We start from the raw sequence: 14,437 nt of genomic DNA on the forward strand, positions 1-14,437 counted from the left end.
CCCGCCTTGTTCAAAGGCGGGAGTAGAGTGCAGGCCAGGCTCAGAAGGTGGGATGGCGGCCGTGGGTGGCTGCATCCTGCTTGGGACCTGGGTGAGGTGGCGCGGGGGTTGTTGGGGGGAAAGGTGGGCCTGGCTTTGGCCCCTTCCAGAGTGGGGGCCCCCAGTGACCAATCTCCTCCCCGTTCTGTGGCCCTCGCCCTCACCCAGATCCCTGGCCTGGGAGCCGGGGGCTGCGGGCCACGAGGAGGGCGAAGGCCCCGCCGCTGCGGCGTGAGGACGGCTTCGCACGCGGGAGCAGGCCCGGCGCCACCTGAGCTCGGCTGCCTGCGCGGAGGCGCCCTTCGCCTACTGAGAGGAGAATGAGGGTGAGTAGGGGCGCAAGTGGAGCGTGCCTCGGGGCTGTGGGTGTGGATGCGCTGGCAGGTGTGGCGGTTTGGGTTCTGCAAACCCTCCCTACGGCGGCTCTCGGGTCCTGGAGCGAGACGCCGGGTGCACGACGCCAGAATCACTGAGGTGCCGGCTCCCCGCGGTGAAGGCTCCAAGGAACGCGCCTGGGCCCGGCCGGCGCGGCTGGAGCAGCAGTTCTCCGGCAGCCCTGCCCTTCCTCGAGTTGGGCCTTTGAGGGGCCTTGGGGCCTCCCGGGGCGGCGGCCTTGAGCCATTAGTGTTGGCTGAAGTCTTAATGACAGGCGAGAGGTGGGCGGAGACATGGGGTTTGAGAGGCTGTCGTTTCCATAGGCCGAGGTTAAGCCTAGGCCAGGTGAGGTCTCCGAGGCGCCCGGCTAGAGTCGGGCCAAGGCTGGAATCTTTGTCCTCATTCAGGGACGCCTTTGCGGTCTTTGAAGCTACGCTCAGGTGAGCCGAGGGCAGACACTGTGTCTCCTTCCGGAAGCTGGGGGTTGCGATACGCGACCCCAAACACCTGATTTTGGGAGAATGGCTGCACTCCCAGCCCCTCCACTGTGGGCCTCGGTGCACGAGTCGCGCACCCTCCCAGCATCCCCTTAGTACCCCAAGGAGCTGTGGGACTTTCCACTCACTGAAACGGGGCCAGTCTATACAGGCGTCTTTCCCTTGTGGAGCCCAGCTCCGTGTGCCAGAAACAGACTCGTGGGGTTTGGGGGTTTCAGCCCAAGCATCCGCCCAGAACACAGTCTGCTTCTGCTGCGGCCGCTGAGAGGACTAGGGAAGTGTTCCTTTCCACACCCTGGGACAGGACGGGCGAAGTCCGTGGGTCTGGTGGCCTCGGGGAGCAGGGCAGGTGGAAGACTCCCAGGCACTTTCCAGGCAGGGGACTAGGAGGGCCCGTGGAGGGGCAGGCAGTGCTCCGAGCCTTTGGGGAATCCCCTCTTCCTTACCAGGTGTCTGAGGACCAGATGGAAGCTGCAGGAGTGGGAGTGGCCACAGCATGGGCACAGCTGCAGTGGGCTGAGGCTGTGAGGGGGCCTCTAGGAGGGGCTGTCCCTGCAGACATTGCCTGGGCCAGGGTTACAGCAGTGCATGAAACAGGCCGTGCCTCCCCCACGGGGATTGTCTTCCAGAGGCATGTGTGGGCGGGGTGGGGCGGTGGGCACTAATCAGTGAGCAAGTAAGTAAAGCAATAAGCCAGTGAAGGTGGCAGTAAGTGCCCTGGGGATGTGGGAGGGGGTGATGGCAGTAAGTCCCATTCTAAATCAGGTGATCTGGGAAGCCATGTAGGTACGGGGACCCCACAGGGAGGCGGCGCTGAGGTGGCACTGTGGCTGGAGCCAGGTGAGCAGGGAGGAAGCCCGAAGAGGAGGGTGGGTGGGGCCAGATGGCTCTGGACCTGGTGGGCAGAGTGGCAGAGCTGAGGTCAGTGTGGCCGTCTCTGTGTCGCTGCTATGAATGCACAGGTGGCTTGTGTTTCCTGCTATTTCTAGACCTCTCTTTTTGTGGTCTCCTTCCTTCCCACCACACTCTCCACTTAGCCCTCCTGGGGCCTACCGGAGAAAGCTGGTCCCATGCCTATTGGCGAGGGAGGCTGGTCTTTCCCAGCAAGCATGCTGGGTGTTAAAGGTCTCAGGCTGTGTGGTTTTCCCTGGAGCCTCGATGTCTCTATCGGGCACCTTGTATAAACTCCCACTTGTGAAGATGGAGCGTTTCTTAGCTCTCCCAGGTGGCTCCAAGGCCAGGAGGGCAGCTGGCCATGCCCTTGGCGTTAAGTGGAGCTTCACAGCTGCATGGGGCTGGCAAGCCATTTCCAGGCTCACTCGGGAGCCATGAGACCCCCATCTCATTCTTCATTAGCTCCGCCTTTCTCTTCTGCCAATGGGGGTGACAGTGGAAGGAGAGGAAAGGGCTGCCCCAGTTCTGACTGGCAGAGGGAGGCCGTGGGCTGTGGGAGAAAACACATCATCATCGTGGGGGGCTAGGAGCTCTGTCATATGGTGGTTGTAAGCAACAGAAATGGGCTCTGGCTGGCTGAGGCCACAGAGGTGTGTGTTGGGAGGGCTCTGGGCAGTTCACAGCCACAAGAGGAAGGCTTCATGGAGGACCTGGGAAGGACTGGCCTCGGGCAACTCTGCCCCCATGGTGAGGGCCCACAGTCTGGGGATAACTTGTGTAGGTGCCTGGAGGCCATGGGCAATGGCAACTGGTTCTCCAAGCCTCGGTGTCCTCGTGAGAAAAGGAGATAGTCACCTCAGTGATGCTTAACCTCATAGGATTCTTGTGGGAATTAAAGCAGATCCATGTGTCACATGCCCTCTAAGCCAAGGGGACTTTACAAATGTTGGGTCCTTTCTCTGAGAAACAGGGGTTTCTAGGTCTTGGTTCTCCTGATCCCAGTGGAGTGAATTAAGGTAACCAGATTGCCACTGAATTCGGTCTTCGTTTTCCACAACCCTGAGGTGATTCAGCTGGTAGGGACTCCCCCCTTGCCCCGCCTCCTGAATTCTTAGCCCTGCACATATGACGTCAGATGGGGCAGGGAGAGGAAGCACCCTGTGGGTGGAGCAGATTCGGAGCCAGCGATGGTTCCCAAGGCCCCGGGCTGGGTTCTGTCACCTGTAGATAGACTTGGGAAGCTGCACAGCAACCTCTGCTTCTCCACTTGCTGTGGACCTTGGCAAGACTTAGTTTCCTCATCTGGGAAATAGGGCTTTAGTTGTTACCTCACAGGGCTTTTAGCCACGTGGTGGGTGCAGTGATCTGAACGGTGCCCGTCCCAGATAGCACTAGGTAGACTGAGTGCTGTTTCCAACCTGTACCGCCTCTTGGGTATACACACAGAATGCTTGTGCTTGTGGCCACCTCTGCAGGGCTGCAGGGGCTATGTGTTTTTCCCACTCCCCGGGTTCTGGGGTTTGGAGAACACGCTTAATTCTGTTTTTGCAGTCATCTTGGGCAGAGATGACTACAGTTGGGCAATGGCAGGATGGCTTGCCTTCCAGGAGCACCGCGTCAGAGGGGCCGGCCCCCAGATGCAGGTGGCTGGTGAGGGGTCTCCACACTCTGTCCTGTGAACTGGGCCATTTCCGTGGTCCCTACCTCATGGGGGCCTAGGGCCTGGCTGCCAGGTCTTACCCAGTGGCTGTGAGCAGTGCCAGGGCCCCTCCTCTGGCTCTCAGACACATGCTTCATACTTGGAGCGGAGGTAGCAGCACATGTGGAGCAGGGTGACCAAGAAGCTTTGGCCACATCTCCCTGAGCACCCTGCAGGTTCTTGGATTATTGGCTGCATTGTTGCCTGAAACTACACAGTCTGAATTCCAGTGGACTCTTCTGGCTGGTAAATAGCCACACCGATAATAGTCTGTGAGCTGAGCAGGCACAGTGGGGAGTTCTGGATCTGAGTAGCTCCTCACTCCCTGGAGAGATGTGTGTGGCAGGACAGCCTGTGGCAGTGCTCTGCCTCCAGAACTTCTGCGGCCTGTTTGCGGGGGGGCCCCCGAGAAGATGGGGCTGCTGCCGCTCCCATCTGTCCGGAATCCCACAAACGCTCACTATTGCTGTGGCTATTCTGGTCCCACAGGCAGATGGCAGCCCTAATATGCTCACTACACCGCAGGCTCATCCTCTAGAAAGGCAGAGGCTGCTCAGGGAAGCTTCGCACTTAAAGCAAATGGAGCATGACAGCATTGAGACAAGAATTACACTGATGTACTTCTCACATCGTTTTTTTGTCGAAAGAAAAACACACATGTTGCCACTTTCACTTGTGAAAAATGGAAACAGTTTTCCTGCAATGAGTGGCCTCAATCACTAAAAATGAATTTGTGTATATTTATAACAAAACGTCGAAATGATTGATATTGATGGCTTCGTTAAGCATTACCAATGAGTACCACCGGGGGGCGGCACAGCACAAGGGGAGTAGGTCAGAGAGCCCAGGGCTCCTGTGGTTAAACTTTTCTCCTTTCCATGAAAATCCTCAAACACATTTTGTATTTTAATTAAATGAAAATACTGAAAATGATACAGTAGAGAGCACTTTTAATGGAAAATTAATTGATAACACAATCTTATTTCAATTTACTTTTTATTTTTAACTTAAACGACTGTGTATTTTCCACAGTCTTATGATGAGAAAGGCTCCAGAATCACGTGTAGGTGTCCTCAACATTTCATAGCTCGAACCGTCCTTTCTTTACGTTGTGCATTGATATGGGCTTCTCAGTTCAGAAAACAAGGCACTATAACTATTTTATCAGCTACATTAATACATTGAAGATATATTTATCCTTTCATGAAAGATACAGCATTTGAATACAATATGGTTTTATGCAGATCAGGTTCAAAACACCCAAGGCACACACTTTATTTTTTTTCCTTTTTTTTTTTCTTTTCTGTGTTTATTTGAAGGCTCGTATTAAAATTTCAAAATTGGCATGAACAAAGAGTTCCAGAGTGGAATCAATGGACAGGGATTGTTGTAATTTTGAACATAAAACGGTAAAGACTGTGGAATGTAGAACAAGTTACAGGAACGATAAACAAAATCACCAATACAGCATGGATTAGAAATCAAAGTGATGAGATCTGCGGAAGTCTGAGAAACAAGTTTGGAAATTCTCTGATTCCCCACAAAGCACGGGCAGTCCTGTCTGCATGCAGCTGCTGTGGTCACCCAGCCACTGTGGAATGTTCACCTACTTGCATGGGTTCATGGTTGTCTACAAATACAGAAACACATTCCAGTTCGCCAGTTATTAAAATGCCTCCAATTTCAAGTAAAAGAAAAAATCTTCCAATAATTTTCCTAGTAAGGTAAACGAATATATTCATCTAGGAAAAGTGGTCTGGAAGAAACCATTGGAAGCAAAGTCTAGGGGGGTGCCAAGGTTTGGGAGAAACTATTGGATGGTGAAGCGGGAGAGCTTGAGGGTGAACTACAAAAGATATGAGGACTGGAATTTTTCCTGAACGTGGAAGCATAGAGGCTGCTGCTCAACTGGGGAATGTGCCAAAGTAGAAGAAACTTTAGGAACTAAAGACAACAAGTTTTCACTGGTGAGGCCAAAGAAGAAGTTCAACGTTTAGGTTTAAAATATGCTTCCCTAAAGCGGAGGGATGGCCCATGTCTTCCTGGCTTAGTTCTTTGCCAATAGACACAAATTCTCTCTTGCTCCAAGCCTTAGCATGTGGTTTGCTTGTCAACCAGAGAGGCGGCCCAGTTCTGCCACTCCCTTGGCCTTATGGCTAGAAGACACCCTGCTGGGGTGTGGGGAGACTGGACCCTAAGGGAAGGGTCCGGATCTGGCTGGCCCTCCGCGGCACCGCTGCTTCCACCCAGAACAAAAGGAAAAGCCGAGCCTCAGCTCCACGCCTATAGCAGCGGTCACAGAAGCAGATTTTGACGTTTTGCATAATTCTGAAATAACATGCACGTATCCATTGATAAATTGAGAATAAGGAAATGGAACCAAGGCAGATTAGCTCAGTGACAGGAGCCTGTTTACTCGATGAGAGAGATTTTTCTGGTCAGTTTTAGAGAGGCAGAGCTGGCCACAATGCCTGAGATAATCTACATTAGATTGCAAGTCGGGCAGCTTTTTGTTTAATTCAGACAGTGTTCACTGTTTGTTTGCAATCAGAACCACAACCTTAGTGCAATAGTATATTTATTTTTTTACAGTAATTTTGGTTGCCATACAAGAGATTTAAGGATTGGGAGAAAGTGCAAATTACAGGAGCTTTTTTTTTTTTTTATAAAGTCTAAAAAGAATAAAAGCACAAAAGTAACAGCAACATAGATAATGCGAACACGTGTTGTTACACAAACTATAGTGTGAAACATATTAGTATTTAAAAAACAAAAAAAAATTGTTAATGGGAAAATCAATATTGTGGCCCACACACAAAAAGTCATTGCCAGATCAACTGGATAATGCTTGCTTGTTCAATAACTGAGAAAAAAATTTACCATTTTATTAACTAAAGTATCACAAATAATTCACTTTGTGATATGTAAAGTTCAGCAAATCAACAGTCACATTGAGTAATTTTTATATTATGTGAATTAACTTAAAATGTGCGCAGACACCCTGGAAAAGGTATCTTGGCAGGTATACATAATTTACATTTTGAGAGATTTGGGTTTTGTATACACAATATTACAGAAACTAGGCATGTAAATGCAGTTTATTTAAATTACAGTATGTAACAAAAGTTGATCTTAAAACCTGGAATAATATCAACATGATCTTTAGATGAGCAGTTTAACATTTGTTCCACCATTAAAGAGGGGCATGGAATAGGGCCTCGTCCTAACATGTCCCAAAGGGGGAGAACAGTGGGTGGTGATTTGAATGAGGAACTATTGCTTTCAGTACCAAAATAAGCAGATAGAGATAGAGACCGATTCATCTTGGCAACATGTGTTTATTTGTTGGTCAGTGCAGGTTCTGATAGGTCTATTACTTCTCTATAATAAGACAGTGTAAAAATAAACTATGTTATCAGCTCTTTAGTCTTGCAGCCAGCTTGCTTGTGGTTAGTGGCATGTGGCTTGGAGTATCTTTAAGAAAGGGAATAACATCTGGCCCTCACCAACTGGCTGCCAAAGTTCAACAAACCGAAGTCACGAGTTTCGACTGGTTATCGTCTGCCAGCGGTTTCCTTGACTCTCCTTTGAGCTAGTGTTTTGCCTGGCACTGAGCACAGAGGTAATACCAACTGTAGGCCCAGGGAAAGTGCCATGCCAAAGGAATGGACTCACGGAATTTTGCGGTATCATCAAATGGAAGACAAATTAATGGCCAAACCACCATTTTTACATTTTCTAAAATATGGGGCAGCCTCAGCAGGCCACCTGTAGTATCCTGTCTTGAAATTTATCTAGAGTAATGCTCATTCATCTCATGATGGAAAAACTGAAAGCACACGGAAGTAAAGCGCCTTAATATTCAATTGACTTCAAGTTGGATTGGATCATTTCAAATACAAAGATTGACCTGCAAAAGGTTTTGGAACAGAAGGTCCAAAAACTTGGTTCCAACATCAGGGGTGTGTGACTGGAAAAGCGCGTGTGTGTGGTGTGTGTTTTGTTTTTGTTTTTGGAGAAACTGCTGCATTATGAATTGTAACCACTTTGAAGAAATTGTCCTTCAATGACGAAGTTCTAGCAAAGATAGAAAATATAACACAGCTCTGCTGGTTCAGATGCATCCAAATAAGGTTGATTTAAAAAGGTCATACTTTTATAATTATTCCACAGAAATAGTATTATTAAATCACAAAAGTTTTTTTTTCTTTAACTTTCTAGCACTGAAGTGGCACAAAGGCTGCCTAGTAGACCAGCCACTTTTTTTTCTTAAAATATTGTGCTTATAAACTATCTGTACAACTATTTAAACTTGCAGTAAAGAAAGATTTTAAATTGCTAAATTTTATGTGTTCATTCTAGAGCTGTTCCAGACCTAATCAAGAAAAAAAGGAAAAAAAAAAAACAAAACCATGTTTTATAATTAGAGATGGGCTGAGCTAGTTCTGAAATAATAATAAAACCAAAAACCTGACATTCGAGTATCCTCCAAATGGGGGAGAATGTGCTGGAAGCCTGACTGTGTGTTTTGCGGCCCATGTGCATCTGGTGACCTCTTTTGGAAATTCGAGGTATTGTTATGGGGTGGAGGGACTCCGGGGAAAGAAAGGGGCGGGGCTCAAGAAAGCCTTGCCAGAGAGGCTGACCTGGCAGCCCAGGAGACCTCCCTGCTTTCCTCTCCTCACGCCTCTGCTTTCACTCTGATCCTGCCGCCCACCTTCTGTTCTCAACCCTGGGTTCTGTCTATACTCCATACCCACTGGGTCCTCAAAGAAGCTGTTGTACTGTTAAGACAAGCTGGTGGGATTCCTAGACACCCAGAGCGATAGGGGAAAAGCCTCTAAGTACCATCTTCCCTGGCCTCCGAGAGCAAAAGGACTGTCTCAGCAGAGATGCTCACCCTTGGCTGGGCACAGAACTGAGGATGCTGTGCCCGCCCAGCTCCCAGAGGAGACGCTGTCTCACTGGCAGCCGCATGTGCCCGCCATGAGCCATGCGTCTTCTTGTCCTTCATGTCAAAGTGGATGCTCACCTGCTCTGATCTTTGCAGAGCTCAAGACATCTTCAATTAAAAAGAATTCTGAGAGGCAGAGAAGCCCTTATTCTCCATCCTGGATGGGTGCTCATGGCAGACAACTGCTCTTGTCCTGGAGACCTGGAGCTTGGGCAGTTGCACGCTGGCTGGCTCCCTTGGCCAGGTCTCCCCTCCATTGTGGAATCGTGACTTTGTGCTTTGACTAACTCCATGTGACATCTGCTTGGCCACCTTGGAATTATGCTAACAGATTTGCAGAAATAAAGAAAGCTAAGCAAAGCTGGGCACGATCCCATCCAAACTCCCAGCACTGCCAGGAACCTCATGGCCAAAGAGCCATGGATGCAAACCACAGGAGGAGATGGGGAAAAGAATCTGTGTAGGAAAAAGTTTCTCTGCCTTTCAGGCCCATGATGGGGCACTGGACAAATGCATCTGGGAGCATCTCACTGCAAGCCAAGTGCAGGAGAAAGAGGGGCAGGTGAGCATCAGGTGTCCTCTGAGAGGCCACAGGACTGAGGAAAGGCCTCATGCCGGGGCCTGGGGTGGTGAGAGCTGCCCGGAAAGCAGAGGACGGAGGTCTCAGGAGGTATCTAGAGTGCACTGGTGTCTGCCTACAAGAGCTAGGATCCCGTGCAAAATTGACGGGGAGCCTCTCGGACCCGGCAAAGCGAGGCCACCTGCATGCTGGGCGGCAGGCTGAGAATCTTTTTCCATGTTAGAAAAACTCCCTCCCCTTGTCCCATGTGTGATAGAAACTGCCCAAGACACCCACATGGTGAGCCAGGGGTCTGAAGACCCAGCCATGTTGTGGACACAACTCAGTATTTCTTTGGGTACCAGGAGACAAACCCATGGAGTGGGGTTGATGCTCACAGACTTCGCTTGGCATTCAGATGTTTCAGCACGAGCCCATCTCTACTTATAACAAGAGCAGTCTGCGAGGTGGAGAGCAGCCGTCCTTATCTGTCCAGCAGCTGTTTCAAAGCCCTTTCTATGTTCATTCTGTGCCCGACTCGAGTTACCCCAAGATCGATGAGGTCCTCCTTCTGCAGGTTTGGTAAGTGACTGCCATCGATCTCATTGTCCATGAAGGCCTCTTTATGTTCACCCAAGTTTAGACTTTCCAGCCAATCGGCCACATCTGGTTTAGTCCACAGGTGGACAGGTTTAGTTGTAAAAGGCTTATTTGAGATTGGCTGTTGCAGTATCGAGGGGGATGGCGACCTACTGCGTCCCGCTGGGTTCAAGCCAAATAGATCCCCAGAAGGGGGCTGGCTTGGAAGGCTAAAGACATCTGAGAGAGCGGGAGAAGGAGAGGCGGTGGCAGCAGACAGGGGGGCGGGCAGGGTCTCTTTGTTCATCTCTGTTGGCGAGACCACAGGGCTTGGGGCACGTCTTGTTCCTGAGGTCCTGCTTTCATAGTCGGGGGGCCGGCTCTGCAGGGTGATGGGCTGGGAGGTGCCGGGGCGAACAGTGAAGGTGACCGTCGTGCTCCGTGTACCTGAGATGGTGCTCATGATCTCCGGGCTTCTGAAACAGCAACACAGAGAAAACCATCACAAGGCAGGTCACCGAGTCAGGGCAGCTGGCTGCAGATCACCCAGGAAGGCGAGGGAGACGCCCAAACCATGCCAGAGTGTCTAGTGGCAGATCCACTGGCAGTGAACGAATGATTTGCCATGCCAGGGTGGGGGAGGGGGAGAAAGGGGCCAGAGCAAAGTTGGAGACACCAGAGCACACCACGTCAGCCCACTCACCTGAACTGGGACAGAGGGGCTGGGGGACCTGCCTGTGCTGGGGGGAGCACACCACGTCAGCCCACTCACCTGAACTGGGACAGAGGGGCTGGGGGACCTGCCTGTGCTGGGGGGCAGGGCCGGGGGACCCTCGGGAGGGTGGCCACTGAGGCATTTGGAAGGGGTCCCTTGAAGAGGGCACGGAGACAGGGACAGAGTGGGGTCCTGTCACCTGGGTAGAACGTGCCAGGCAACATCTCCAGCGCCTCAGCTTCAGCAGGTGGGAAGGAGCACACCTGGAGGACAGGCCCCTCAGCCGCCTGGCAGCCTTAGGCTTTTTGGGTAAATGGACAAGAGCAGGGCAGGATCCTTCCCAGGTGGCCCCTTTCAGTAACTGGAACCCCTGTAGCTACGCAGGGCACTCAGGGGTTGAGATCACCCGGAAACCCAGACAGCAGGGCGTGGCTTGTGTGGCCAGTGTGGGCTGCGCTCACCTTCCTGAGGCAGCACTGTCCAGCGCCCACCCAGTGGACAGTTTTGTTGCAGAAGGAGCTGGGGTACCCTGTGTTATTTTTAGCCCCTTTCATGTGAGAGGCTCACTGGTAGGACACACGGGCCTTACTGAAAAGCAGAACGCGTGAGGAGCCCTGTCTTCCCCAGGGTGGCCATGGGCGTCCCCGAGGGTCCCCTGTGCCTTGCCGCTCTGGCTGGGCAGGCAAAGCCCTCAGAGCTCAAGTCAGGGAGGACGACCCTTCTAGCTCCAACCTTTACTGGCCCCAGGGTGGTGGCCAGATGACTCCCACAGGCAGGAGGTCCCATCTCAGTGCCAGAGAAGTCCAAGTCCTCACGCTTACCCACGTGGAGGTGGCCTTTCACACACCACTCCCTCACGGGCTCTGGCCAAGGCCTGTGGCAGGCACTCTCCACACCAAGAGAACTGCCACTCTGGGCCCTAGTGCATGTTTTGCTGTCCCCACACTGAAAGCCCATTCATCCTATTGTCCCTAGGAAAGCCACAGCCACTGGGGAGGGGAGGAGAGGTGTGGGTCTCTTGCCTTTTGGGCCCATTCACGTGGATATGAACGGCCCACCCACCGCTTCTGAAAAGATCCATCCTACCACGGCTCTCTCTTCAAGACCTGGACTTGAGAGATGTCTGCTGGAGCCCTGGCTCTGTCAGATGCCAGCTTGGGTGCACTTTTCTCCTGTCTCCACATCTTCCCACATGAAGTGGGCTCCTCTCCCTCCTATGTGGTGGGTTACCCTGGGTGGAGGGGCTCTGGAGAGCATGAGGAGTGCACTGGTGTGACATCGTGACCGTGAATGGTGGTGGGCTGCAGTGTCTCAGTGAAAGGGTCATGGGCAAGAGGGGGAGAGCTGCAAACAGTAGAGATGCTGCCGTGTGGGGAGACTCCCTGGAGGGCAAGACTGAAGCCCCTGCCCGTCTGCTGGGGGCCAGTTCATCGACTTGCACTGGGGCTGTCTTTGGAGCTCAATGGCTGACCAGTTAGAGCAGCACTTCCCAAAGAGGAGCCCACAGACCCTTCATAGAAACCACCTGGGACACTGGTGGGCCGTGAGGACTCCTGAGCTCGTCTCAAACCTGTGGAAGCAGGAGTGCTGTGCATGGGGACCAGGTGTCTGCAATTAACAAACTCCCCAGACACTGAGAGACCCTGAACCTTAGAGGCCATTTGGTTGGGCCTTGGTTTTCATTCCAGGGTATGCACAAAGCTAATGGCCCAGAACCCTCCAGGAGCTAAAAGCAAAGGGAGTGACCTGGAGACGGGCCCCGCTGCTGGTCTAGTCTGTCTCTCTCCGTTTTTTTCTTTTCTCTTTCTTTACCATGGATGTATATTTGGGTGAAACCACCCATCAGTTACCTAGGTTCCCCTAAGCTGTGGGTCAGTTTCCTACTTGATGTTAGTCACTGTTGCTTAAAGTGTGGACTAGTCCATAGTGAGAAAGGAGGGGCAAATCTGAAAGGGGCCTGTGCTGTGGACTGAGGCTTCAATCCTACTGTGAGAAGTGTTTGCAGGGGCTGGTGGGTGCACTGCTGGGCCAGGGACCCCATCCACCCATAGGGTGTTCACGTGCTATTTTCCAGAGGGCTGGGTGCCCCTGAGTGGGAGATGTTACAAACCAGGCATCCCCATCTAGAACCTGCCCCCACCCTCAATGGTGGCTTGCTGGTCATTGGTTATACTGCTCACACCAACAGGCACAAGGCAGGTGAGACTCTGAGGATTCCTCCACTGTTTCTGGGCCCAGTTACTCACAATCAAGAAATCAGAGGCTGCACACGGTGGCTCACGCCTGTAATCCCAGCACTTTGGGAGGCCTAGGTGGGTGAATCATTTGAGGTCAGGGGTTCGAGACCAGCCTGGTCAATATGGTGAAACCCCATCTCTACTAAAAATTAAAAAAAAAAAAATTAGCTGAGTGTGGTGGTGGGCGCCTGTAATCCCAGCTACTGGGAGGCTGAGGCAGGAGAATTGCTTGAACCCAGGAGGCGGAGGTTGCAGTGAGCTGAGATCGTGCCACTGCACTCCAGCCTGGGCGACTGAGCTAGACTTCTTCTCAAAAACAACAACAACAACAATAAAAAAACCCCCAAAAAACCCGAAATCAAATCAGAGCCCAGTGGGGCTTCACAGCAGGGGAGAGGGGCCAGCACCCTCTAGTATCTCAGTTTATACTCTCAAGAGAGAGGTGGCCTATGGACATAGGATACACGAAAAAACCTGCAACCCCCCCTTCTCTGGTACTCAAAGAAGGTCGAAAGACCAGCTCCAGTTCCAACTTAAAACTGGGGGTGCTGTGGCCTGTTCTTCTGTGTTTATTCCAGAGTCACAAGAGCACAGTTTTGGGGAAGGCTTATTTGTCCACGTTGATAAAACAATTAAGCCAAGATGATTGAAATCAAATAATGGGTAAGTTGAAAGCCACTGCATTCAGAGGTGATTTGGGGTGTTAATTAGGGCCAAGGACCTTGGGGCACAGGGAATGTTTCCTATAAAATGGGAAAACATCTTACAAGAAGACATATGCCCACAGAGGACTAGAGGAGGAGGGGTAGCTGGGGTAAAGTTCTGGTCTCCATGTGCTTTTGCTAAAGCTGACTACATGGTGACTGTGCCTGCAGCCCTGACTCTGGGCAGCTCCACCGTGGCAGCATGACTGGTGCCTGGCCTTGGTGCTCACCAGGCCTGTGAAGCAGAGGCAAGTAAAGCCCCAGAGTGAGAGCACCTACCTCACGCCTGGGCAGTATTCACCACGGGTATCTCTGGCCCAGAGGGTTGCCCCAGTGCTGCCCTCACTGGGAAAATACCCAGCTGTTCCCAGGTAGTTGGGATTGATTTTGGTTTTTGTAAGGAAAGGCTCTGCAGGCAGCTGTGTGTGTGGTTAGGAAGCGAAGAGGAGGCTCTGCAAACACCTCGGTGGGCAGCGGGAGCGCGAGAGTGGCACACACGGGGTCACGCAGCAGCACAGCAGGTGGCACTTACTTCTGTTCAGCACGACCCTCTTCTGTTAACACCGGTCATGGGAGCAAATGAAAATGACAAATGGAATGACTTGAGACAACACTGCAAAAATTAATGAACAAGAAAGGAAGAAACAGAAAAAAGCTGCTTTTCGACAGATGAAATGAAGGCAGTGGGGCAGACCCTGGCTGAAAGCCCATCCGTGGTGGTCCCTTCGGCCTGCCACAGCCTGCCCAGAGCTGAAACATCAATATGGCATCACTTTCATAGGGAGCGTGGGAAACTCACAAGCTTGTCTTCTCCTTCTTTGGCTTGGGATAATGTAACCACTTGTAAAGAAGAAAAATAACCAGGAAAAAAGAAAGAAAATAGTAGCATTGGAGTGAAGTTCGCCTCTGCCTGAAGCCCACTGAGAAGCAGCTTATTGCCAATTTCCTACCTCAGGTGCCTGAACTGTCTTTCCTGTGGCTTAGGGAGGATAAACGAACATTCCTGGTGGGGGAGGGCACCCCAACAGGACAAGTGCTTTGCTTCAAGTCTACATCATGAGATGACAGCCCAGCCGTTAATCACATGGGCGTCAAGTGCTTGGGGCCTGCCAGTGTCCTGCCCCACATTGCTATAGAAAGTAACCGCCTGTGAGTGTGAGACGCAGGGTGAAGGCCACCCTGGGC

At 51.7% G+C, this 14,437-nt stretch overlaps 1 protein-coding gene across 32 annotated transcripts in view, besides 1 other annotated feature; it reads right to left on the bottom strand.

Annotated features, from left to right (window-relative positions):
• The window catches only part of SHANK2 (SH3 and multiple ankyrin repeat domains 2), a 785,381-nt gene continuing 775,430 nt past the window's right edge, over positions 4,487 to 14,437 (bottom strand). For 31 of the 32 annotated variants that reach the window (NR_110766.2, NM_001441030.1, NM_001441032.1 and 28 more), the window contains one exon: positions 4,487 to 10,072. Coding sequence is in view for 31 of the 32 variants with exons in the window: in NM_001441030.1 (NP_001427959.1) it covers positions 9,502 to 10,072 (571 nt within the window). In the remaining variant the exon portion in view is untranslated. Of the gene's footprint in view, positions 10,073 to 13,784; positions 13,866 to 14,437 lie in introns of all 32 variants that reach the window. The other variant, NM_001441039.1, reaches the window with a different exon arrangement.
• Positions 6,873 to 7,082: an enhancer, noted in NCBI's record as "active region_5163". NCBI's record gives its function as "activates an Ori minimal core promoter by ATAC-STARR-seq in GM12878 lymphoblastoid cells {active_cell/tissue: GM12878}" and the evidence as "EXISTENCE:reporter gene assay evidence [ECO:0000049][PMID:35858748]".

Source organism: Homo sapiens, chromosome 11, assembly GCF_000001405.40.
Source record: "Homo sapiens chromosome 11, GRCh38.p14 Primary Assembly".
NCBI classification, from domain to species: Eukaryota; Metazoa; Chordata; class Mammalia; order Primates; family Hominidae; genus Homo; species Homo sapiens.